Source organism: Homo sapiens, chromosome 22 (assembly GCF_000001405.40).
Source record: "Homo sapiens chromosome 22, GRCh38.p14 Primary Assembly".
NCBI classification, from domain to species: domain Eukaryota; kingdom Metazoa; phylum Chordata; class Mammalia; order Primates; family Hominidae; genus Homo; species Homo sapiens.
In genome coordinates this window covers 45298402-45323652 of record NC_000022.11, presented here as the reverse complement: position 1 = coordinate 45323652, position 25251 = coordinate 45298402, and the positions used below count along the sequence as shown (strand labels likewise).

General features: G+C 49.9%; 1 protein-coding gene across 23 annotated transcripts in view, besides 5 other annotated features; it reads right to left on the bottom strand.

Annotated features, from left to right (window-relative positions):
- FAM118A (family with sequence similarity 118 member A) overlaps positions 1–14693 on the bottom strand; it is a 32996-nt gene extending 18303 nt beyond the window's left edge. For 6 of the 23 annotated variants that reach the window (XR_007067975.1, XR_007067976.1, XM_017028842.1 and 3 more), the window contains exons 1-3: positions 1438–1606; positions 1227–1282; positions 226–481 (exon numbers count right to left, since the gene is read on the bottom strand). Coding sequence is in view for 20 of the 23 variants with exons in the window: in XM_017028842.1 (XP_016884331.1) it covers positions 226–481; positions 1227–1282; positions 1438–1470 (345 nt within the window). In the remaining 3 variants the exon portion in view is untranslated. Of the gene's footprint in view, positions 1–225; positions 482–1226; positions 1283–1437; positions 1612–1859; positions 2052–5012; positions 5205–13469; positions 13720–14002 lie in introns of those variants that run through there. The other 17 variants (NM_017911.4, NM_001349915.2, XM_047441433.1 and 14 more) reach the window with 10 other exon arrangements.
- Positions 5002–5071: an enhancer, noted in NCBI's record as "active region_19227". NCBI's record gives its function as "activates an Ori minimal core promoter by ATAC-STARR-seq in GM12878 lymphoblastoid cells {active_cell/tissue: GM12878}" and the evidence as "EXISTENCE:reporter gene assay evidence [ECO:0000049][PMID:35858748]".
- Positions 5122–5171: an enhancer, noted in NCBI's record as "active region_19226". NCBI's record gives its function as "activates an Ori minimal core promoter by ATAC-STARR-seq in GM12878 lymphoblastoid cells {active_cell/tissue: GM12878}" and the evidence as "EXISTENCE:reporter gene assay evidence [ECO:0000049][PMID:35858748]".
- Positions 11849–12657: an enhancer, noted in NCBI's record as "H3K4me1 hESC enhancer chr22:45706877-45707685 (GRCh37/hg19 assembly coordinates)". NCBI's record gives its function as "activates a minimal SCP1, AML or CMV promoter by ChIP-STARR-seq in primed H9 embryonic stem cells {active_cell/tissue: H9 hESC(primed)}" and the evidence as "EXISTENCE:reporter gene assay evidence [ECO:0000049][PMID:30033119]".
- Positions 13374–14053: a silencer, noted in NCBI's record as "silent region_13881". NCBI's record gives its function as "represses an Ori minimal core promoter by ATAC-STARR-seq in GM12878 lymphoblastoid cells {active_cell/tissue: GM12878}" and the evidence as "EXISTENCE:reporter gene assay evidence [ECO:0000049][PMID:35858748]".
- Positions 21271–21565: an enhancer, noted in NCBI's record as "tiled region #10691; HepG2 Activating DNase matched - State 6:EnhF". NCBI's record gives its function as "activates a minimal TATA promoter and a strong SV40 promoter by Sharpr-MPRA in HepG2 cells {active_cell/tissue: HepG2}" and the evidence as "EXISTENCE:reporter gene assay evidence [ECO:0000049][PMID:27701403]".

Sequence of the window (25251 nt, the reverse complement as noted above, 5' to 3'; positions counted from 1 at the left end):
ATTTAATAGGAGCTACTTTAGGAGCCCCACGCTGCAGTGTGGCTGGCATCCCCTCAATTTTAAAAGACGACACCCCGATGGACTCAAGGATTTCTGGCTCATCAGCCCGACTCTGCTGAGCACTGAACACAAGTTAGGCCTGCAGAGTTTAACATTAGGTTCACAGACTCATCCAACCTGCTGCAGAACCAAGCTGTCCCCAAGAGGTACTTGTCTGACACTTACAGGTGACATCTTCCGGATCAGATCATGGGCGACAACCAACAGGTCCCGGTCCTTTGTCACTTTCCTCCGGAACTCGGCGACGTCTCCGGGGTGCAGCACCTCCAGCTGCTCTGCAGCCTCGATGACGGCCTCGATGCAGCTTCTCCACGAGCAAAGGGCAGGGATTCCGGGGGCCACTGCTGCGCTGACGCCAGTCCCGATAACCAGGAGCAGTTCCTGGGGCTGTTTCCGGATGAGGCTTTTTAAAAACTTTCTACTTGAAAAGAAGGGAGCAAGAGAATGAAAGTCAAAGCGGAAACATTGCAAACACAAAGTCTGGAACTGTCTGCGAGTTCCGGCCTTGTGCTGTGTACACACACACACACACACACACACACACACACACAGTCCCCTCTGACGCTGTGGGGAGACGGCCTGTGTATCCTTCTTTGCGTATTTATTTCACATGTTCTACCCTTATTCCTTAAAGGACGTGGGACAGCTGTGTCTCATGCATTTTAAGTTGCCCAGTGTTAAGCTCAATTTAAGTGATACATATCATTCCTTTGAAGCTGCACACAGGTTATGAATACAAACGATGATGACAAAATGACCCCTGCTTGCAGTGACGGATAAGACAGTTACTGGCAAATGCTGGTTTCCTGCCACCCACCAATCCCAACAGTAAGTACCTCTTTATCGCGCTTCACTTTATAGCAAACACAAGCTGCTGTCCATCTGTAGTCAAAGAATTCTTTCTTAGGAAGCCTGACACTCCCAGTTCTAGACATGACACCTCTAATGACATGTTGCTTGGTTTGGAGACTGGGCAGAAAGCTGCCTTCTGGAACGTTCCTTACATTGAAGCCAAGGGTGGAAAATGGCCCTCGAGGTTCTCTCATGCCCCAGTGTTTCCATTTCACTTTCGCCCTTGCAGGTACTAAAGAACGAGTGCGCACACTCACGAGAGACGCTAGATGAAGTCAATGAAGCTGCTTGAAGGTATAGTTGCCTTTAATTACCTGGATTTTTGTTCACTTCTATTTGTTGTCTTTTCCACTGAATCCATCTGTGAATTCTAAAGAGAAAAATTAGTCAGAAGTGACTTCTGTCTCCCAGGTAAAAGTTTTTATTTGCACCCTGGAAGATAGTTAAGGCTAGAATTAAAATCAAAGGTCCTCAATCTTTACTTAAATTATAATATCTGAAAAATGTCATACGCAAATGACGTACATCCAAAATGCTTCCTAAGCCACCATTCCTCATCTCATGAGACTCATCAGGCTGGTTGGACTCTCGCTGTTCTACACGGGACAGCACAGAAGGAAAACGCACACACAGGAGCAGATGAAGGATGGGCTCTGTGGGCTCCGAGCTGGGGTTTTCGCTGTCTCTTGGGACACTGCTCTAGAAGAATTTCCAGTGCACATGAACACAGATGACTTATCAGAGAAGCAAAACACAGCAAGCGGCACAACAAAGCGAAGCCAGAGGCGGTTTTGCAGAGGAAGCCAACGAGTGCTCTAAGGTGCAGAGCACTGGACTGGAGCATGGCCATCCTCAGCATCGGCACCAGCTCCAAGGCACCAGCCCTCCCCTCGGCCTTACTGAAATCCACTCTAAAGAAGTCATCCAAGTAAAAAGCCAATTCTTACCTTATATAAAAACAGAAATCCCAAACCATCTGGGTCTCTTTCACCAAGCTATCTCCATATTCTTTAATTTTTCCAAAATCAGACCAGGCATGGTGGCTCATGCTTGTAATCCCAGCATTTTGGGAGGCCAAGGTGGACTGCTTGAACTCAGGAGTTCAAGACCGGCCTGGGCAATACAGCAAGATCCTGTCTCTACAAAGAATAAAAAAATTTGCCAGGCATGGTGGTGCATGCCTGTAGTCCCATCTACTAGGAAGGCTGAGGTGGGAGGGTCGCCTGAGCCTGGGAGGTTGAGACTGCAATGAGCCATGGCCACGTCACACCACTCCACTCCAGCCTGGGCAACAGGGTGAGACCTTGTTTCAAAAATAAAAAATAAATAAAAAATAAAAATTTTCCAAAATCGCGTTTCCCCCCAATTCTAGAAATAATATCTACTGTAAGCAAGGAAAAATACAGAAAAATAAGGTTTTGCCTATAATCCTATGACCTGTGAGCAGTAACTGTTAACATTTATATATTCCCTCTACTCTCTTTTAAAAATGTTTACAAGGGAGGCTGAGGCAGGAGAATCACTTGAACCCAGGAGGTGGAGGTTGCAGTGAGCTGAGATCGCGCCACTGCACTCCAGCCTAGGCAACAGAGCAAGACTCCGTCTCAAAAATAAACAAACAAACAAAAGTATTGACATAATTTGAGAACACAGTGCATATCCTACTTTTTCATGCATTAAAATAAATACATCTCCTTTATGTTATTAAAAACTATTCATAAATGTAAGTGTAATGTATATATATGGAATTCTCTCTTACTGACACATGTCTGATGCAGAATGTTAGTATAACACCCTGACCACCGACTTAGTGCACAAAGCCTGTATATTGTGAAATTATTTATTTAGGAGAGATTTCTGAGAAGAACTGCTGAGTTAGAGAGTATGAACACTGTAAAATATCTTAGCACACACCACCAAACCGCTTTCCAGAAAAGTGGTCAGCAGAACACGTCAGTGCTCGCTTTGCCACATCCAAACCAGCACTGACTGAAAATGACTTTGGCAGAGTACGCTGGCTCACATCTGTAATCCCAGCACTTTGGGAGGCTGAGGTGGGAGGATCCCTTGAGCCCAGAATTTCAAGACCAGCCTGGGCAACATCATGGGGAAACCCCATCTCTACAAAAAATACAAAAATTAGCCAATGTGGTGGTGCTCATCTGTAGTCCCAGCTACTTGGAAGGCTGAATGGTAAAATCACCTGAGCCCAGGAGGTTGAGGCTGCAGTGAACCACGACTGTGCCACTGCACTCCAGCCTGGGTCGCAGAGTGAGACCCTGTCTTAAAAAGAAAAAAAAAAAGAAGAAGAAGAAGGAAGAAAAGAAAAAGAAAAATTACGTGTTTGTTTGTTTTTTTTTGATGGAGTCTCGCTTTGTCACCAGGCTGGAGTGCAGTGGCACAGGCCTGCGCCACCACATCCGGCTAATTTTTGTATTTTTCATAGAGACGGGATTTCACCATGTTAGCCAGGATGGTCTCGATCTTTGACCTTGTGATCCGCCTGCATCGGCCTCCCAAAGTGCTGGGATTACAGGCATGAGCCACAGCAACTGGCTGAAAAATCACTTTTTCACATGTGTAATCTTCACTCACACACACACACCCAGCCACTAGAATCAGGTCATCAAAAGTAATTTTCCAGGGTAAGGAAACAAGGCTTAATCAGTCCATAAGCATCATTAGATCGCAGAGCTAAATGGGATCCCCGTTATCCTTTGAAAATGTAAACAACTACCTAAGTCCATGCATATATTTTCCTAGGGAGAGTTCACAGCTTCCATCAACTCCCAAACATGTCTGCGACCTTACCCCAAATGCTAAGAAATCACAGTCCACAGGCAAAGAAAACGAGGCTCACAGATGCCTGTAACCTGCCCCAGGGAAAGACTGGCAGAGTCCGGGCTGGGGCTTGGCCCTAACACATCCTTCTTCCCATTGAGGAGTTAACATCAGTCATCAAACTAATCTTTTGTTTTTTTAATCTACTAGATACTTTCTAAGGAAAGTAACAGAAGTTGAGTTTCTCCGCTGTATAATATAATCCCTCCACCATCTATTAATAATATAAGCAACTCTGGACCCCACCCCTGAGATTTCAATGACTGATTTAACTGTTCACCAATCCTCAGTTTTATTAACCATAAAACATGGATTCTTGCCAATGGGCCGAGTTTTGAAAGCTCAGGCCTCTGTATGAAAGTGCTCTGGCAGCTGGAACTGCTGAGTCCAACAGCTCAGGCTCTGGCCTGTGGATGAGGCGGCCTGCACACTCCCGGCCTCCTGCTGTGGGGCAGGACTTGGGAGCCACTCCTGTTCAATCCTATTTGGAAGGGGACGATAAGAGGGCTCATCAGCTGGCTAATTCAAGTGCCCCCTACTCCCGCCCCCCAAAATAATCCACATCACTTCCAAATAGTTACTCCTCCCTGTCTATGAGAAGGGCTTGTTTAGTTCAGCCGTCTGTACACGACATTTTAGACTATTTTTTAAACACGCACTGGTCAACCAGTGACGTAAAAAAACCACATGCCTAAAACTGTTACCACAGTAAAGAACTTTCAAAATCTACCTCTAGTTCTTTCAACCACTGTTCAATTGCTTTCGATTCTCCACATATAAGTGATTATGGTTACAAATTCAAATCCTAAATACTGCATTTACACATCTTCAAAAACAGTATGAACAAATTAAACTTTTGCAGGCTATATTTAACTCCGAAATTAAGTGATTTCAAAGTTTCTCAAAAGAACGAGGTATCACACTATTCCTAACACTTACGTAACAGGCCACAGCTCGCACTCCTGGGTGGTCTGTGGCTCGCTTAAGTGCTCAAAACCTCTTTCTCAGCCTGAACTGCAGGTCTGGTGCTGGCTCCTCAGACAGTATTTCAAACACAACCACACGGAGTCCAACCTCAATAGGCAGATGGGCCTCTAGACTTTAATACTGATGCATACTTTTAAGGATCAAAGGAGCCAACACGGAAAGTACCCAATTATATAAAAACTCAACACAGCAACTCTGCAACTTGAACTGCACAGTTGCCCATATTTAGACATTTACAGTTCATTATCACACTACATGTTTAAAGACATTACCTCATTTCCTGTTTTACAGCAGCCTAAACATCAGAGTCAAATCTCACAATAATCTAGAAATTACCCTAAATCTCCCCCTTGTTTTTAAACCAAAATCCAAGTAAGGTGATCTCAAAAGCACTCGGCACCAGGTCCTAGAAGTTTCAGCAGGACAGCAAGCTCCAGCGTTCTGCTCCCATCCAAACACCGTCTAAGCCAATCAGATCCCAGAAAACAGTAACAAAACCCTTCGGAGGCCTTTCAGACGCTGCATCTCTCGGTTTCCTTAGTGACTATGTCGTCACCACGGTGTGTGGGCCCAGAGCCAAGTCATCATAGCAACCCTTCTTTTTTTTCAAGGACCTATCAGCATTTCTGAAAGCAAAATCTGGCCCCAGCAGAGATTCTTATAAGCAGTTCCTGTCTTTTTTAATCCAAAGCCAAACTCTTACCAGGATGCTGTCTGCTTAGAACTTAAGATCACTAGCATTTTATAAACTAGCATAGAGTAGCTAGAGACTGTCTTATTCTTCAAACCCTGGCATCCAGCACTACGTAAACGTTCATCAAACGGAGTTCAATGCAAAATACAAGCTACCAAAATCGAACTTGTTATTTACAGGTAGTAAAACAAAGTACCTCACAACCCTACCGTGGTAGGATGTTAATGGCCCCGCCCCTCATGCCTGCTGGCAGCCACACCCTTCTACAGCCCCTCACAGACTCCAGGCTTAGCCATGTGACTTTTTGGCCACTGAGATATCGGCAAATGGGATAACGGGAAGCAAGTACAAGTCCGACACACCCTTTACGACAGAGCCTGTCCCGGTGGAATTCTGCCCTGCAGAGCTCTGGCCTGCCACTTGGTGGGCAGCCGAGGTACCATCCACCCACACAAGAGCAAGGCTGCCTTGGGCCACAACTGCATGAGTGGCCCCAGCGAGCCTGGCATAAGAACCTGCTGGGCCGGGACCTGGGCCTGGCGCTGAGCTAGCAAATAGGCTGTGGCTGTTTAAACCCTGGCGGGACAGGGAGAAGCCCAGAGTGCCAAGGAAAACAGAGCAGATGGACGAATGAACGAACATCACGAGGCTCTGTGGGGAGAGGGGAATGTGTGTCAAGAACTGTAATGATTAAAAGTGGTGTAACAAAAAAACCTTAAATTACTCGCTTTCCATTACAAGCTATATGTTCACTTAACAAGCACAAACCATCAACTGGAAGTGTCCAGATTCTGGGATCCTCAAAAGTATCCTTTAAGAAAACCTTTTCTGTGTGTTTTGAGAGTGAGTTTCACTCTTGTTGCCTAGGCTAGAGTGCAATGGCGCAATCTCGGCTTGGTGCAACCTCCGCCTCCCGGGTTCAAGCAATTCTCCTGCCTCAGCCTTCCAAGTAGCTGGGATTACAGGCACACGCCACTAAACCTGGATAAGTTTGTGGTTTTTCAGTAGAGACAGGTTTCACCATGTTGGTCAGAGGCTGGTCTCGAACTCCTGACCTCAAGCAATCCACTTGCCTCAGCTTCCCAAAGTGCTGGGATTACAGGTGTGAGCCACTGTGCCCAACTTTCTTAATTTCTTTCTATAAATAGATGATCACATGGGCTTTGAGCAGTTTCAAAAAGCAAGGAGATAAGGGTGTCCAAGCAGCATCTGATTACAATGAAGCAAGAGGGACTCAGAGTAAACATAAGCTCAAACTACATCCATCTCACACAGGAGTGAGTGGTGTCACATTTACTCGGCAAAGTTTCCGAATGCTCACCTTTAACTCACCTGTAGTCAATCCACAGTGATCATAAAATGACCCCAGAATTTGCAAAGTCAGACAAGGTCACTGTGACTACAAAGGAGTTGATTTATGTTGAGCCCTTAGAGCAAAGCCCGGCAACACAGTAGGCTATTAGTACCAATATTACCACTGCCACTGTGACAAAAGCGCCTCACACTAAGAAAGCATTTATAAATGTGCTACTGACAGGAGACAAGAGGCTGGGAAATACTAAATTTAATCAGTGTAGCCAGGGTGGATCTTGAGGACTGGAATGTCCTTAAAGGAGGCCAGAATCTATCCACTGCATTCTGACTACACCAAGGCAGCTCTGGAAGACCGGGAGCCTTCAAGCAAGCCCTTCCCAGCATGACCCTCAGCAAGACAGATGACTGCATGCTATGGAAGCTCAACGGCCAGACCCTGCTCATTAATATCCTCCTCTCCCTTCATTCTAGATGTGATTCCCACAAACTTCCTTTTTCACAGCCATCAGGTTCCCACGTAGGCTTGGGAGAGGAGAAGAGTGTGGCGGCAGAAATCACTGAGCAAGGCTGGATGTGGAGGCTCACACCTGTAATCCCAGCACTTTGGGAGGCCGAGGCGGCCGGATCACCTAAAGTAAGGAGGTCGAGACCAGCCTGGCCAACATGGTGAAACCGTGTCTCTAATAAAAATACAAAAATAAGCCAGGTATGGTGGTGCGCACCTGTAATCCCAGCTACTCTGGAGGCTAAGACAGGAGAATCGCTTGAACCCGGGAGGCAGAGGTTGCAGTGAGCCGAGATCGTGCCACTGCACTCCACACTGAGTGACAGAGCAAGACTCCATCTCAAAAATCAAATCAAATCACTGAGCAACAGTCTTCAAGCACATGTGACAGTCATATTTCTAACCACAAATGAACCATCTGCGATCCAGCTGATAGGTTTCTGGTGAGTTTGATTAGCATGACTAGGGTCACCTGAACTGGAAACAAGGCACAAATGGGCAAAAAATTAAGCTTCTGGAACTGCAAAGGAGAGGCTTAGCCTTGAAACCACAACACCCCCACCTGAAGCAGCATTAGGACTAAGGTGCAGAAAACACAGGATCTGGAGACAAGGAAACACCACCCTTTCCCCAGCCAGGTAGACCTCTCTAAACCTGTTTCCCCCAGCCAGGTAGACCTCTCTAAACCTGTTTCCCCCAGCCAGGTAGACCTCTCTAAACCTATTTCCCCCAGCCAGGTAGACCTCTCTAAACCTGTTTCCCCCAGCCAGGTAGACCTCTCTAAACCTGTTTCTCCATCTCCCAAATGGGGATCCCAACATGCACATCACCGACGGGGCTGCTGCAGACATTCAAGGGAGACGCGTATCTGAAAGGCACTTAATAAAGTGTACAGTGTCTGTTACTCTCAACCGCCTCACGCTAGCACCACTCTTCCAAGGCAGTCACCACAACTACATTTCAGTGTAATCATGGTTCTGGTAAAACTTAATCTCAGCCATTACTAATAATAAGGGATCTTCAGGATGAGTTATTTTCTTCAATTTACAGAAAATATGAACCCTTAATTTGAACGCACTCCACTTAACCAATTACTTTTTATTCTGTTGAACTTAATTATAATGGGAAAAATGCCTTATTTTGTAATGATGGAAATAAGTTAATTGGATTCCTGAAACCAGTCCCACCAAACAGAGCTGCTTGGACGTATACACCCAAACCAGGAAAACAGCAAAACCCACCACTAGAAAAAGAATCTAATTCAAATTTAGTTTAATTTGGTCACAAATTAATTCAAAGAGCAACATTAATTACTGCCACTTTTTCAGCCTTTAATAGAGATTCAAGGGAAAATGCTAAGCGTTTTACACGCACTATCTCAGTTAACCTCAATAACCCGATGAGGTGGCGACTCCTATGACCCACAGCCTGGCCAAGGCCGATAGTGAACCCTTCTAACAGGCCAGCCCCAAGTTGTGTATTATATATTCTTGCGCCTTTCTTCCTAACATCAGTGCAGCTTGAAATGGCAAACAAATATACCTGATATTTTACTGGGAACTCTGCCATCCACTAAAGCATTCAGCATTTTACATACAGTTTGTCCACCAGATGTGACACATTAACTCAAATAAACGTGTTACTTAACAAGCCAATGTTAAAACACGCCAAGACAGAGGCCAGGGGCTTGTGGACCCACCTGCCTTTACCCCACCTCAAGAGGATACGTAAGACATGTTCTAGAAGGTAAACCTCCAACAAAATGTAAAATGACAGAATTTCAGAGCGGGCAGGATCTTAAAGGTTACATGAAACCAAATGCCCTAATTTTTCAGAAGTGAAAATTGAGACTAAGAGACAGTGACTTTGTCAACTTCCCCCACGGGGCTGGGAACAAGCTATAAAGTAACTCCTGGCTCATGTCCCATACCCTTCCCACCGGCCTGGGCATTGTCTGGTCCACTGTGACCCCAACACTTTAAGGCACTCATTTCTACCTCTTTACCACCAAATCATTACAAATAAGGCACAGTTTAGTTTTCTACAGTTTCTCCTTCCCCGGAAATGTTGAAAGAGTTGCCATTAGGCAGATAGAAGAGGCGGCAGGCAGAGCAGCTCCAGGAAAAAGACCAGCCCCTGCACAGTGTGCTTATCATTCAACTGTCCATGTTAGCTTGGGGGGCGGGGTGGGAACAGATAAGGAGGGCCACATGGAGGAACAATGCTACCAACTCAAGAGGACGGCATTTTCCTGACAAGGAGATGCTGCAGGCTCCTTGGGGGAAGGAGGTAGGATACAGCAGCAACAGCCTGGCCAACAAATCAGTACTGGCTGAACTCCTTACTACCTGGGCAAGGACTCATTCCTGAGCCTATTTACTTTTTCTACAAAGGAAAGAATATCTTATACCTCCTAAGGTTGCTGGAAGCATTAAATGGAATAAAAGAACAAAGCCTGGAACAGTGTGCTTCCTACTACACCCTAGATGTGTGATAGGGAATCCTTCCTAGATTTAATTAAAATTAAAGCTAAATAAAATTAAACAGCTGCGTCACATTAGTCATATTTTCAGTGTTCGGCGGCCACAAGCGGCCAGTGTGTACTGGACAACAGTCATTACATTTTGGTTACCACAGGAAGTTCCATTGTGCAGTTATCCCTGAGTCTGTCTCTCCCTCACCTAAGCCCAGACTTCAACAAACAAGTCCTGTAGATTTTTCTTCCTAAATCTGTTTAATCCATACCGTCTGCCACAGTCTTAAAGCCCTCACAACTTGGCTGGGAGTGGTGGCTCACACCTGTAATCCCAGCACTTTGGGAGGCCGAGGCGAATGGATCACCTGAGGTTGGGAGTTTAAGACCAGCCTGGCCAACATAGTGAAACCCCGTCTCTACTAAAAATACAAAAAGTAGCTGGGCAAGGTGGCAGGCGCCTGTAATCCCAGCTACTTGGGAGGCTGAGGCAGGAGAATCGCTTGAATCTGGGAGGCAGAGGTTGCAGTGAGCCGAGATCGCACCATTGCACTCCAGCCCTGGCAACAAGAGCAAAACTCCATCTCAAAAAAAAAAAAAAAAAAAACCCTCACGACATGTCTGACACTGAAAGGCACCTGCTTCCAGTTCCAGCCCCTCTAGTCCTCTAGTCCCACATAGTCACCAGAGGGAAATTTCTGACACATCTGAACTTGTCTCCCCTCCAACAGCTTTGCATTTTGTTGAAATCTCTACTTGGTCTTCATCCTGTTTCCCGTCTTACTACTCCTAGAATCCCTGGAATCTCCAAAGTGCTGTCATTTTGTATGCTAATGAGCTGATTGACGCAGATAGGCCCTGGGCAGCTTCAGAAGGGGGCTTATCACCAGAAAGACCAAGGCAGGATTAGATCCTTGGAACTTTCAGCCCCACCCACTAACCTGGGGAAGAGAGGGCTAAAGATTACGTTGATCACCAAAGGCCAATGGTTTAATTAAGCATGCCTACATGCTTAAGTCGTCTCCATAAAAGGCATAAAAGGGCTGGGTTCTGAGAGCTTCCTGAGAGATAAATACAAACATGCCGAAGTTTCTGGAGAATGGTACACCCCGGGGAGGGCACAGAAGCTCTGCACAGCATCCCCCACGCCTCACCCTACGCATCTTCTCATCTGTGTCCTTTGCGATATCTTTCATAACAAACCAGTAAACCTGAGTGTTTCCCTGAGTTCTGTGAGCTGTTCCATAGCAATTTTGAGACAGTCTTGCTCTGTCTCCCAGGCTGGAATGCAGTGTCAAAATCTCAGCTCATTGCAACCTCAGCCTTCCGGGTTCAAGGGATTCTCGTGCCTCAGCCTCCTGAGTAGCTGAGATTACAGGTGCACACCACCATGCCCAGCTAATTTTTTGTATTTTTAGTAGAGATGGGGTTCTGCTATGTTGGCCAGGCTGGTCTCGAACTGCCGACCTCAGATGATCTACCCTCCTCGGCCTACCAAAGTGCTAGGATTACAGGCGTGAGCCACCGCGACTGGCAAATTAATCAAACCTAAGGAAGGGTCATGGGAACCCCAACTTGAAGCTGATCGATCAGAAGTTCCAGAGGCTCAGGCTTGTGACTGGTGTCCGAAGGGGTGGAGGGCAGTCTTGGGGGACTGAGCCCTCAACTTGCGAGATTTGATGCTATCTCCAGGTAGTATCAGAACTGAATTGGAAGATACCCAGTTGGTGTCTCTTGCACAAATGACTGCCCGCTTGGTGGCAGGGAGAAACCTCTCCTCACATTTGGTCACAGAAGACATCTCTGTTGATTGTCGTTGAGTGAGATAATAGAAAAAGCACGATGGGTGGTTTTTCCACACACAGGTTCTCTTCAGGACCCCTAGCCCAGCATGGTCCTGGCCCACCTCTGAGACTCAGCCTCTCCCCACCCTGCCCCACTGCGTCCTGTGTGGTCATTAGACTATGGTGAAGCACACACACACAGTCACCATGAAGCACTAAGGCGACCACAGACCCTACGGTAATAGGACAAAAACCTCACTTAAAGTTCAGACCCCAGGCTCAGACAGGAAAGAGCGGGAACCAGTCTTCTGGGCCTGGGCTTTCAGAAGCTTAGCCCCGTTCCAGAAAGCCACAGTCCCCCACTACCACCGCCTTGGTCCAGGTCACCCCCATCTCTCATAGGGTCTTGCTTCCTCCAAAAAAGTCTCCCCACCACAGCCACATGGATGGTTCAAAAACACACCAACTCCCGCCCCTCTCCTCCCAAAGCCCTTCAATGGCCACCCACTCCCTTTAAGTACCAAACCCTCCACTCAGCTTAAACTGGGCATGCTTTGGTCCTGACTGGCTCTCAGAATCACACCCTCTTTCTTGTCACTCCCACCTCAAACCCAGTACTCTGCAAAAGTCCCAGCTTCTCCCATACCAGGTCTCTAGCGAGACACTTCCCTCACTTCTCCCCCTGACCACCTCCCACCTTCCTTCAGCTCAGCTGGATCATTTCTCAGGACAATGGCAGGTGCAGTCGTTCAAGAAAGGGCCAAGGGCACGGTGGGCCTCCGGGAGCAAAGCTGGGTTCTCCGCAGTTAGCATTCACTCCCACGCCACCTTCATTAGGTGTGCTCCAGCCACACCTCCCGCCTTCCAACACTGTGTGCCGTGGCAGCCTCTCTGCCTTTTGACATACTGGCTGTCCCCTGAAACTCTGCCTGGAATGACCCTGGCAAACTTCTCCTCTAGCTCAACCTTCAAGAATCAGCTCACCTGCTGCTTAGCATCTCCTCCCCACGACTCCTAAGACGCCCTCCTTAACACCCACCCCTTCCCAGAATCCCATGCCCACCCAGATGGGTTCCCTGCCAGCGACGACACAGCTTCCTCCAGATAAAAACGACCTACTTGTCTTATGCCCCAGGTCCCTAGGCCCTGACAGCAGGGACCGTCTCATCTCTATTTCCAGTGTCAATTCCTGGAGCCTATCAGGCATTCAAAAACAAAATGTTAGTTCCTTGAATGAAAAAATTAAGGAGGAGACAACCTAAAAGCGTCCCCATGTGCCCTAACTCGCTCCCTCCCCGGTTCGGCCGCCCTCGGCCACCTCAGGTCTCCTGCTCTATAGACTGTCCTGTGGGGCCACCTGAGTCTCAGCAGAACATTAAAACTTAAACCCGGCCCTGCACCTGCAGGCGCGGGGACCACAGCTTAGGAGGTGGTCGTCGGGCGCGCTGTTACCGTCTTAAGTTATCACCAGACCTGGGAACACTTCCACCCACGCCCCGCAGGTCCAGGGACCTCAAGTTGGAGAAACCTAGCCCTGAGATCAGGTCGGAGAGGGAGCCTCAGGGTGGGCGGCACGGGGACCCGGGGTCTCGCGGGGCTAAGGACACTGGGAACCACGGCTCCCCACAGGAAGATGCCCCGGGCCTGGGGGCTTCTGAGGAGGTTGCTGGAAGCAAGTCCCAAGGGAACCTCGAGAGTTTCCGGAACCAACAGTTCTCAGGGCCCACTAGCGGCCGGGGTCCTCAGGGGGTCTCGGAGTCCAGAGAAAATCTTGGAGTTTCGGGGTTCGCGGGCCTGGAGGGGCAGGGCGGATCCTGAGGGGGTCTCGGGGGCAGGGGCTCCAGGGGAAGAGCTGAGAGGGAGTCCTGGGGTGGCCCCGGGGCCGGGGCGGATCCTGAGGATCTCGGGGTCCCCAGGGGCTCCGGATGCAGGGACCGCGGGCCCGCCCCGCCCCCTCACCTGCGGCGCCTCCGAGACGCTGGTCCCAGCTCGCGCTGCCACCTCTTCGCCTCCGCAGCCGGCTACGCCTCCGGGGTCTCTCGGCGGCCGCGCACCCCTGACGCTGGGCGGGGCAAGGGGATGGTTCTCGGGGAGGGGACTGCGCAGGCACGCGGGCTAGAAGCGAGAGCGAGAGCCGGAGTCGGAGCCAGAGCGGACGCCACGCCGCCTCCAGGCGCCCCTCCGCGTTAGCCGGCAGCGGCGCCGCCGCAAACCCTTCCCCCGCGCGCCCGCCCCAGCCGCGTGAACGTTCCGTCCCGAAACCAACGGCCCCGCGGTCCCCGGAGGCCCCGCCCCGGGGAAGGGCGAAGCCAGGACGCGCGCCCCGCCCCGCCCCGCCGCCAGATCCTCTGGCACCGCCCACCTCGGTGACCACGGTCCCGCCCACCGGGGAGGCCACGCCCCCGGGGTCTCCAGCGCAGGCGCGGTCGGATGTGCGGGGGAGGGCTTGCGCTGGGGAGCGCTTGGGCCTAGAGTCCGCGTCCTAGCCCTACCTGGCCCGGCGAGCCGCGCGTCCCGTTTCCTCATTTGCAGAAAGGGGGCGGGAGCACTTTGCAGGGACGTGGCGAGCATCAAGTGCGATCGGAAGCGCTCCTTTGCAACTGCATCCTGCACCACACTTAGGCACAGCTTCTGTCCCCAACCCAGACCTGAGGCTGGTCTCCGTCCCCCAGCAGACTCCTGCCCGCTTAAATTGGCCAGTCACCAGCCCTACCTTCTTTCTTTTTCAGAGTACTTGTCACTCTCCGAAATTAGGTACGCTTGTGACTGGCTCCCACTTCCCCTGAGAGCCGGTACCTTGTCCGTCTTGTCCACTGGGGGTTCCCAGAAGCCAGCACGGCGCTGGGCACACCATGGCCGCCCACATGTTTGTGCGTGCGTGAGTGTCTTCCCCGCGCTCTTCCCTCATCAAGAAATACTCTTCCCCGAGGCTGAGAATTTCTCCTAAAAATACAAGAAATACTCTTCCCCAGCTTAGGTTCGATCCGGCGAGGCCCCCTGACTCCTCGCGCATCCCTGTCGCAGGTGCCGCGTCCGTAAAGGGTGTGATCCTAGCACCTACCTTGTGGGTATTGCGAGGACTGAGATTGTGCGTGGGTGGGCTGGGCACGGGCCCCCTAGCGATCTTATTACTCCTCCTTTGTCTGCCACTGAAGTCTTTTACCTAAACAAGACCCAATCCACTTCCTCTTCCCAGCCTGCCCTGCCCAACCTGGAGTCATTTATTACTTCCTGTCTCCTTGGCACCTTTTTTTCCTGCCTGATTTTAAAGTTGGCTGTTAATATCTCCCCCTACCCTAGCCCACCAGAAAGCTCTCATTTTGTGACAGAAGGTAGTGTTGTGTTAGCGGCCTGTGAAATTTTAGGGGGGGCCAGAGCCCAGAAAACAGTGGGAGCAGTGACTCTGGGATGAAGAGGGCAGCCCCTGGGTGCTCTGTATGTGGGGTCAGGCACTCCCTGAGCACTTTGCATGCGTTCCTTCATGGTGTTCTTGGAACAACCCTATGAGGAAGGCGTCTTCATTGTTATTCCAGTTTAACAAGGGGAAGCTCAGGCCCAAGAGGTTGTGTAGTTCCATGCCTCAGCCCACACATGTAACCACCACTGCATACAGCTCCCCAACCCCTGGAGGTGCGACTTAAATGCAAAAAAAGGCCGGTGGCTCACGCCTGTAATCTCAGCACTTTGGGAGGCTGAGGCAGGTGGATCACCTGAAGTCAGCAGTTCCAGACCAGCCTGGGCAACCTGGCAAAACCTCATCTCTACTGAAAATACAAAAATTAGCCGGGCGTGGTGGCGGACACCTGTAATCCCAGCTACTCGGGAGGCTGAGGCAGGAGAATCACTTGAACCCGGGTGGCAGAGGCAGCAGTGAGCTGAGATCATGCCACTTCACTCCAGCCCGGGCAACAGAGCGAGACTCTGTCTCAAAAAAAATTTTTTTTAATGCAAAAGATATATAATTCAGTTCATGAACACCTGCTCCTGTACTGGGTGCTGAAGCCCGAGACCTGTGGGAGATGTGGCCCCTTCCCTCATGGAGCTCCCAGGCCCCAGCAAGGATTTTGATTAACAGGACCTTATGGGCTGGGTGCTGCCGAGGTCAGTCAGACCCAAGACTCTGCGCAGGGCATCCTCTGAGGGGTGGTGGGACCAAAGCAATCGTAACCTCCAGCCACATTCAGCACCATCTGAGATAGGCTGGGAGCCTCAGCCCCTCCACCCAAAAACTCAGCCAGTCAGCCTTACAAGAGCAAGGACAGCAGGAAGGATGCCTCAGGAACAAGGGCTCCCCTTTTCCCCACATCTGAGAGAAACACAGCTTTTTCTCAGGTTGTGGAAAATTACTGAGAGACACTGCCCCCTGGGCACCTTGACCATTCTGAGTAGATAAGGGGGCAGATATGGCAGGTTGGCAAGAGGTCAGCGTGGTGCTGATGTGTGGGTGTGACACATCACTGGGCACTGTGGGGTGTCCGTGTCTGTCCCAGCCTCCACGCAGCCGACGTGAGCACAGCTCACACTAATGAAGATGTATGTGCACAGCAAGCCTTGTCGTCAGGAGCCCAGCGACCAGACCTAGTCCATATCTTTCCTTTTTAAAAGTTTTCAAATTAAAATATATTTTTTAAATTTTTAATTATTTTTCATGGAGACAGAGTCTCACCATGTCTCCACCAGTCCAGGCTGGTCTTGAACTCCTGGGCTCAAGTGATCCTCCCACCTCAGCCTCCCAAAGTGCTGGGATTACAGGCATGAGCCACCGCATCCAGCCCAGACTCAATCTATTTGTGTATTGAGGGTATCTTGAGGGGCGTTGGTGCATTTGGAATGTACATACCTGTGTGTGGGCATATACACTACTGTGAATTGAGCACCTACTGTGTGTCAGGCGCTATTCTAAGCTCTTCATAGGCATACCTTTCCTCACTGTCGCTGCCACCCTGCGTGGTAGGTGTTATTAATCTCCTTTAACAGACCAAAAAACAGGCTCAGAGGCGTTAGAGCAACTAGTCCGAGCTGGTAAGTGGGCATCTGCTTGGAATTGCTGCCAGGGTCTGTCTGGCTGCAGAAGGAGCTTTGTTTTGCACTGTCAGAAAAGAGAGAGCCAACAGATTCACAGGCAGGGTCCCTGGTGGGATGCTCTAAAGAATGGACAGAAAGGACACCAGAGACCACATAACAGTCCTCCCATCCTGGAGAGGAAGTTGTTGCTTTATTCTCTGGACAAACCCACATCATAACACATATATGCCCTGCACCGGTGTACAAGAACACACCCCACAGAGATAACACGCACCATGCAATATACACCCTCACACTGTGTGTGTCATTACACATACATGCTGTAAACACACTCATGGTAAAGGAGCTAATCAAGCCTTTTAGAGCCTCCCCACATGCCACCCATGCCCATGTCTATTTCCTGTAGAAACTCTCCTGCTGCTCCCTGCATCCGGGCAGGCTGGCAGGAGGGGCTGTGATGCCATTGCTGAGCAGCAGGCGGGGTGTGTATGGCAGGCAGGGGAAGGGAAGAGGGGAGCCTGCACCTTGGAAAAGTCTCTCTGGCCCTCCTTCTCCGTCAGCTCGTCTCCTTTCCCCAGACCCCACCCGTGCCCCAGCTCAGGACCCCTTACTGCTGGCCTGGAAGTTTTGCAACAGGCTGCTCTGAGGTCTCCACTCACCAGTCCATGTCACCTGCCACCAAGACACGCCATGTCCGGGAGGACTGGCAGGAGCACTGAACAATATCTGCTGAACACCCGCTGTGTAAGGAGCCGAGGACATAGCGGGAAAACCAGCACTGCCCTCGTGGAGCTGACAACATGGTGCGCCAGGCCCCTATTGACTCCAATAAGAATGGCACCATGTCCAAGAGGCCGAAGAAGAGACCCAGAGCCAGTGAATGAGACATGGAGTTTATTGAGGACTTAGATACAAAAGTGATCCAGTGGCAGTGGCCTGGACAGGAGAAACACTATCATTTGTAAAAAGCATGCAATTTATATAGCAATTTTTGTGGAGCCCTCTCCACCTAGCAACCTCCATTTAAGCCACAACAAAGGGCCTGGATCCCCTGTACGGCCTGCATTCCAAGGGACCAACAGGCCAGGGGTTCAGATCTCTTCATAGAAAAGAAGTGAGACTCCTAGTTGGCCACTCCCAGATTCCTTAGCTCAAGACTCCAAACACACTTTCTTCTTAGACCAAAGGGTCATTTTCAGGGTATGCTTAAGTTACTGCTGTCAGGTCCATCTGCCATTCACAGCGTAGTGGGTGGGGAAATGGACAGTGAACCCGGGTGTCAGGGCGTGATGAGGCTATGAAGACAAATGAAGTTGTGTAAGGGACAGATGTTGCTACAAAATTTAAAGGGCAAGACATAGACTGAAGAAATTTGCAAAATATATGTCAGACCAAGGACCTAATCTAGAATATAACAAGAACACTCACAGTTCAATAAGAAGGGGCCAGGCACGGTGGCCCAAGCCTGTATTCCCAGCACTTTGGGAGGCCGAGGTGGGAGGATTGCTTGAAGCTGGGAGTTTGAGACCAGCCTGGGCAACATAGTGAGACCCCTGTCTCAACTAAAAAAATTTAAAAATTAGCCAGACATGATGGTGTACCTCTGTAGTCCCAGCTACTTGGGAAGCTGAGACAGCAGGAGTGCTTGAGTGAAGCAGTTGGGAGGTTTCAGTGAGGTATGATTGTGCCACTGTGCTCCAGCCTAGGTGACAGAGCGAGACCCTGTCTCTAAAACAATAAATAAGAAGAAGGTCAACAACTCAATCTTAAAAATCTGTGTAAGGCTGGGCACAGTGGCTTACACCTACAATCCCAGCACTTTGGGAGGCCGAGGCTGGCAAATTGCTTGAGCTCAGGAGTTCAAGACCAGCCTCAGCAACATGACGAAACTGCGTCTCTACAAAAAATAAAAAAATTAGCTGGGTGTGGTGATGCATTCCTGTGGTCCCAGCTACTCGGGAGTCTGAGATGAAAGGATCACTTGAGCCCAGGAGGCAGAGGTTGCAGTCAGCTGAGATCGCGCCACTTCACTCCAGCCTGCATGACAGGGCAAGACCCTGTCTCAAAAAAAAAAAAAAAAAAAAAAAAAAACCACACTGGGCAAAAGATTTGAACAGATACTTCCCCAAAGATATATGGATGGCAAATAAGTACCTGAAAGCATCCTCAACATTATTATTCGTTAGGAAAATGCACATCAAAAACACAATGAGATACCACTATACACCTACCAGAATGGCTAGGATAGGCTGGGCGCGGTGGCTCACGCCTGTAATCCGAGCACCTTGGGAGGCCGAGGCGGGTGGATCACGAGGTCAGGAGATGGAGACCATCCTGGCTAACACGGTGAAACGCCGTCTCTACTAAAAATACAAAAAATTAGCCGGGTGTGGTGGCGGGCACCTGTAGTCCCAGCTACTCGGGAGGCTGAGGCAGGAGAATGGCGTGAACCCGGGAGGCGGAGCTTGCAGTGAGCCGAGATCGCGCCACTGCACTCCAGCCTGGGCGACAGAGCGAGACTCCATCTCAAAAAAAAAAAAAAAAAAAAAATACCAGAATGGCTAGAATAAAAAAGAGAGATGATGCCAATTGCAATTGCTGGTGAGAATGCAGAGAAACTGGACCATCCATACATTGCAGGTGAGAGTGTAAAATGGTACAGTCACTCTGGAAAATAGTTTGGCAGTTTCTTTTAAAAGTAATTTGCGCCGGGCGCGGTGGCTCACGTCTGTAGTCCCAGCACTTTGGGAGGCCGAGGCGGGCGGATCACAAGTTCGGGAGATGGAGACCATCCTGGCTAACACGGTGAAACCCCGTCTCTACTAAAAATACAAAAAAATTAGCCGGGGGTGGTGGCATGTGCCTGTGGTCCCAGCTGCTCGTGAGGCTGAGGCAGGAGAATGGCATGAACCCGGGAGGCAGAGCTTGCAGTGAGCCGAGTTTGCGCCACTGCACTCCAGCCTGGGCGACAGAGCAAGACTCCGTCTCAAAAAAACAAACAAAAAAAACCATAAAAGTAATTTACACTTACCAAAACATCCAGCAATTGTGCTCTTCGGTATTTATCCCACAGAAATGAAAACTTTATTGATATAATAGCCAAAAACGGGAAACAACCCAAATGTCCTTCAGTGGGCGAGTGGTTACACAAACTGTGGCACATTTATATTGTGGAATACTACTCAGCGATAAGTAAGAGGCCAGGCACGGTGGCTCACGCCTGTAATCCCAGCACTTTGAGAGGCTGAGGGGGGAAGATTGCCTAAGGACAGGAGTTCAAGACCAGCCGGGGCAACATGTTGAGACCCTGTTTCTACAAAAACTAAAAAAAGGAATGGACTCTTTTTTTTTTTTTTTTTTTTTTTTTTTTTGAGACGGTATCTTGCTCTGTCTCCCAGGCTGGAGTGCAATGGCGCGATCTCGGCTCACTGCATCCTCCACCCCCCGGCTTCAAGCAATTCTCCTGCCTCAGCCTCCCAAATAGCTGGGATTACAGGCGCCCGCCACCACGCCCGGCTAATTTTTGTATTTTTAGTAGAGATGGGGTTTCATGATGTTGCCCAAGCTGGTCTTGAGCTCCTGTCCTCAGGTGGTCCACCTGCCTCGGCCTTCCAAAGTGCTGGGATTACAGGCATGAGTCACCACGTACGGCCAGAATGCACTCTTGATATATGCAATCGTTTGAATGGATCACAAGGAAATTATGCTGCATGAAGAAAAGGCAATCTTTTAAAGTTACATAAACTCTATGATTCATTTCTAGAACCGTTTCTGTTTTATTTTTGTTTTCATTTTTAATTTTGTTTTTATCATCCAGCCCAAAATGTCATATAAAACAGTTTTTAAATGACAATATTGTCAAGATGGAGAACAGATTAGTGATTCCCAGGGTTTAGGGGCTGGGGAAGCGGTGCGTGTGGCTGTGCAGGGGTGCAGGAGCCTTGTGGACATGAAGCAGTTCTGTATCTTGATTGTGTTGATGGTAACCCAAAGCTACATATTTGATAAAATTACATAGAACTACACACACACACACACACACACACACACACACACGAGCACTTGTGGCTAGTGAAAGCTGAATAAGCTCTGTGTATCGTACCAATTTGAATTTCCTGGTTTTTGACATAACTGTGTTGTAGTTATATGAGGCATTAACACGGGGAGAGGCTGGGTAAAGGTGCTCAGGACTTCCCTGTACATTTCTTTTTTACAACTTCCTGTGAATCATTTCAAAATAAAAAGGTTTTCTCTAAAAAATGTACAAACGCTTTGGAAAACAGTTTGGCAGTTTCTTTAAAAATTCATCATACCCCGCGGCCAGGAGCGGTGGCTCACGCCTGTAATCCCAGCACTTTAAGAGGGTGAGGCGGGCGAATCACCTGAGGTCAGGAGTTCGAGACCAGCCTGGCCAACATGGTGACACCCCGTCTCTACTAAAAATACAAAAATTAGCCAGGTGTAGTGGTGCACACCTGTAATCCCAGCTACTCGGGAGGCTGAGGCAGGAGAATTGCTTGAACTTGGGAGGCGGAGGTTGCAGTGAGCCGAGACCGTGCTACTGCACTCCAGCCTGGGCAACAGAGTGAGACCCTTGTCTCCAAAAAAAAAAAAAGAGGCTGAGGTGGGGGTGGGCAGATTATCTGAGGCCAGGAGTTTGAGACCAGCCTGGCCAACATGGCGAAACCACGTCTCTACTAAAAATACAAAAAATTAGCTGGGCGTGGTGGGGCACACCTGTAGTCCCTCCTACTTGGGAGGCTGAGGCACGAGAACCGCTTGAACCTGGGAGGCAGAGGTTGCAATGAGCCAAGGTCGCGTTCTAGCCTGAGACTGTCTCAAAAAAAAAATTTTTTTTCATCATAGCCCCATGATATGACTCAGCCATTCCACTCTCCAGTATTTACCCAAGAGAAGTGAAAGCAGATGTCCACAAAGAGACTTGCACATGAGTGCTCACAGCGGCTTTATGTGTGATAGCCCCACACTGGAAACAAAACAGGTCAATGATGGATCCACACATTATAGAATATCCACACAGTGGGGTACTTCTCAGCAAGGAAAAGGAGCAAAGTGTTGATACACGCAGCAGGATGGTGAATCTCAAAATTGTTATGCTGAGTGAAAGAAGCCAGACACAAAAGAGAACATACCATGTGGTTCCATTTATATAAAAATTATGGAAACTGCAAACTAATCTTTAGTGATGGAAAGAAGCTCAGGCTGGGTGCGGTGGCTCACGCCTGTAATCCCAGCACTTTGGGAGGCCGAGGCGGGCATATCACTTGAGGTCAGGAGTTTGAGACCAGCCTGGTCAACGTGACGAAACCCCGTCTCTACTAAAAATACAAAAAATAGCCTGGTATGGTGGTTCAAGCCTATAATCCCAGGTACTCGGGAGGCTGAGGCAGGAGAATCACTTGAACCTGGGAGGCGGAGGTTGCAGTGAACCAAGATTGTGCCATTGCACTCCAGCCTGGGCAACACAGTGAGACTGTCTAAAAAAAAAAAAAAAAAAAAAAAAGATCACTGCAGTACAGGGTGGGCAGGGGTGGGATGGAGGGATTACCAAGAAGCCCAAGGAAGTTTTTGACGAGATGGATGTTATCACCATTGCAGTGGAGCTTTCACAGGTGTATACATTTGTTAAAGTGTATACACAGTGGCCGGGCCAGGCGCAGTGGCTCACGCCTGTAATCCCAGCACTCTGGGAGGCCGAGGTGGGCGGATCACAAGGTCAGGACTTCAAGACCGGCCTGGCCAATATGGTGAAACCCCATCTCTACTAAAAATACAAAAATTAGCCAGTCATGGTGGCAGGTGCCTCTAGTCCCAGCTACTCAGGACGCTGAGGCAGGAGAATCACTTGAACCCGGTAGGCGGAGGTTGCAGCGAGCTGAGATTGCGCCACCGCACTCCAGCCTGGGCGACAGAGAGAGACTCCCTCTCAAAACAAAACAAAACAAACCAAACAAACAAAAAGACTCATCAGATATGTTCTAAATAGGTGCATCTTATTATACATCAGTGCTGCCCCAATAAAGTGGGAAAATCAAGCTGGGTGAGTTGATAGAGGGTGACGAGGAACATATGCCCTTTTATTTAGGGTGCCAATTCTGTCCAAGATTCTGCTCTGACAATTCCTCGGGGATTTCCATTCTTCTGACCGGATGGGTGGCTCCCAGGTTTCCTAAGCCTGGGGATCCGGGCTCCGGGCTCCGGGCTCCATTGGATCAAACTGAATGGCATCCCTTGTGATTGGCCTGAACTCAGAAGAAATTACCCATTTGGGAGCAGCCTTCCCAAGCATCTGACCCTTTTTGCACAGGTGAGGTCAGGGGAGCCCAGAGAGGTTACCTCCTTGCCCCAGATCACACAGCTCACCTAGGGTGAGTAGCTAACCCATGAACCATGGCTGGAGTGGGAGGAAGGTGAAGCCGCCTCTGTGTAGAAGTAGGAAGCTCAGCTGTGAAGTCCCTGCCATCCTGGCCATGGCAGATGAGTCCTACAGACTTGGAGAAGCAAGCTAATAAAACTGCTTCTGCATGGATTTATAATTAGCAGTTTCTATGAAGCCTGAGTCCAGCCCAGAGCTCAGGAGCCAAGCGCAGCAACTCCCGCTCACCCCCACCACCAGCTTGGGCTATTCAGCTCAGGGGGATTGGGGAGAGCTGACTGGAAGCTGGCAAGGACTTGTCCTACCCCTCAGAATCCAAACTTACTGCCTCTGCCCTGGTGCTGCCTAGGAGGGGCCTGGGATCCACATTCTGCAAGGACCCATCCAAAGAGGAGGAGCTGTTTTGTTTGCAGAAGTGGGGGTGGAGGGCCAGGTGTGGTGGCTCACACCTGTAATCCCAGCACTTTGGGAGGCCGAGGCAGGCGGATTACCCAAGGTCAGCAGTTCAAGGCCAGCCTGGCCAACATGGTGAAACCCCGTCTCCACTAAAAATACAAAAATTAGCCTGGGCATGATGGTGGGTGCCTATAGTCCCAGCTACTCGGAAGGCTGAAGCAGGAGAATCACTTGAACCCGGGAGGCAGAGGTTGCAGTGAGCTGAGATCACACCACTGCACTGCAGCCTGGGCAACAGAGCGAGACTCTGTCTCAAAAAAAAAAAAAAAAAAAAAGTGCGGGTGGAGTGGCCGGTAGAGTAGCACCATTGCTTTCTCAGTAACAGGGCTGTCAGGAGACAGAGCAGGGTCCGGCTTTCCCATCAGTTCTCTCCTGGCCTCCGTGGTATCCCTCCGTCCCCACCCAAATACTACCGCAGCTCTGTCCCTCACCTTGGCTGCCTCTCTGGTCCTTAGCCTTTCGTGATCTCAGCAGTCCTGGAGCTTCAAATACTATCATTCATTGCTTGGCGTATCAGAAAGCTTGCCATAGGTTCTTTTTGCTTTAATATGACTGACAAAGTAAGGCTAATGGATTCAGCTGGCCAAAAAAAAAAAGCAAAAACAGAGTCCTCATGAGACTCAGACAGCAAAAGATCAGAGATGCCTGCCCCCTGCTCCCTGCATCCTCATCCCACAGGATGACACTGAAATAAGAGGGGCCCAATAAGGACAGCGTGAGCAGGAGGCACCCCGTTGCTGAGCTGCAGCTGTACCCTGAGGAGGACGAGGAAGGAGCCTCAAACCTCATCAGAGCTGAGGGCCATGAGAAACTCTCATAAAGGCCCCCAGGAAGATGGGAGGTGGGGACAGGGCCATGTGGCAGCAACTCACAAACCTCCCATGCTCTCATGTTCTGGGAGGACCACGGGGAGTTCTGCCAAGGCTTAGACCAGCAGCGGGGAAGCTGGGCCTCTGTGGCCTCTGTGGATACGGGCAAGGACTGAGGGACATCGGCTCTGCTCCGAGCGGTTCCCCTACAGTGAGTGACAACCACCCCTAATGTCTCAGTGGTTTACAATACAAAGGTGAATTTCCTGTCTGGGATCCCTGTTGGCTGTGAGCAGGCTGTGACTCGGCTCCATGCGTCTTCCTCATTCAGGGCCCAGGCACACATAGCAGTCCCGCTTGGGCTATGCTGTTCTCCCGGCAGAGGCTGAGCAACAGCGGAACCATCCAAAGGCTCTTCAAACCTCTGCTCAGAGTGGCCCCTGCCTGTCCCACGGCCAGACCTGACAATGAGGGGCGGGAGGGAGTATAATCCTTTCCAATCCAGGCAGCGAGTATCTGGGAGCAACCATTTGCTCTAACCCCTCTGATAACTCTGACAACTCCAACACGGATATCTGCAGCCCCTTCCTCCCCCGGGGCGCCAGACCTGGATACCCCGTAGCCTGCTACTCAGCCCTACTGATGCATGCCATGCAGCTCGCGTTGAGCCCACCCCGCATTCTGGATTGCCTCTAGCTGAAACTTCGTGTCCCCATTCTGGTTGAGGGCACCACCGTGTGTTCAGTGGCCCTGGTCCCCAACCCAGAGGTCATGCCAGATCCCGTTTCTCCCTCCTCCCCCACAGCCAGTTCATCAGCAAGTTCTTCCGTGTCCCCATCAGAGTTACACTGCCACCCCTCGGCTTCCTGCCCCCAAATCCATCCTGTGCACAGCTGTGAAGTGGGCTTCACGAAGACCGTTCTCTGTGCGAAACTGTTCAGAGCTTCCCATTAGCCCCGGAATAAAATCCAGCCTCCCCATGGTGGCCTCAAGCCTCTCCCACCCTTGGCCACCTCTCCTCTTGCTGGCCTTGAATATTCCAACATTGGCAAAA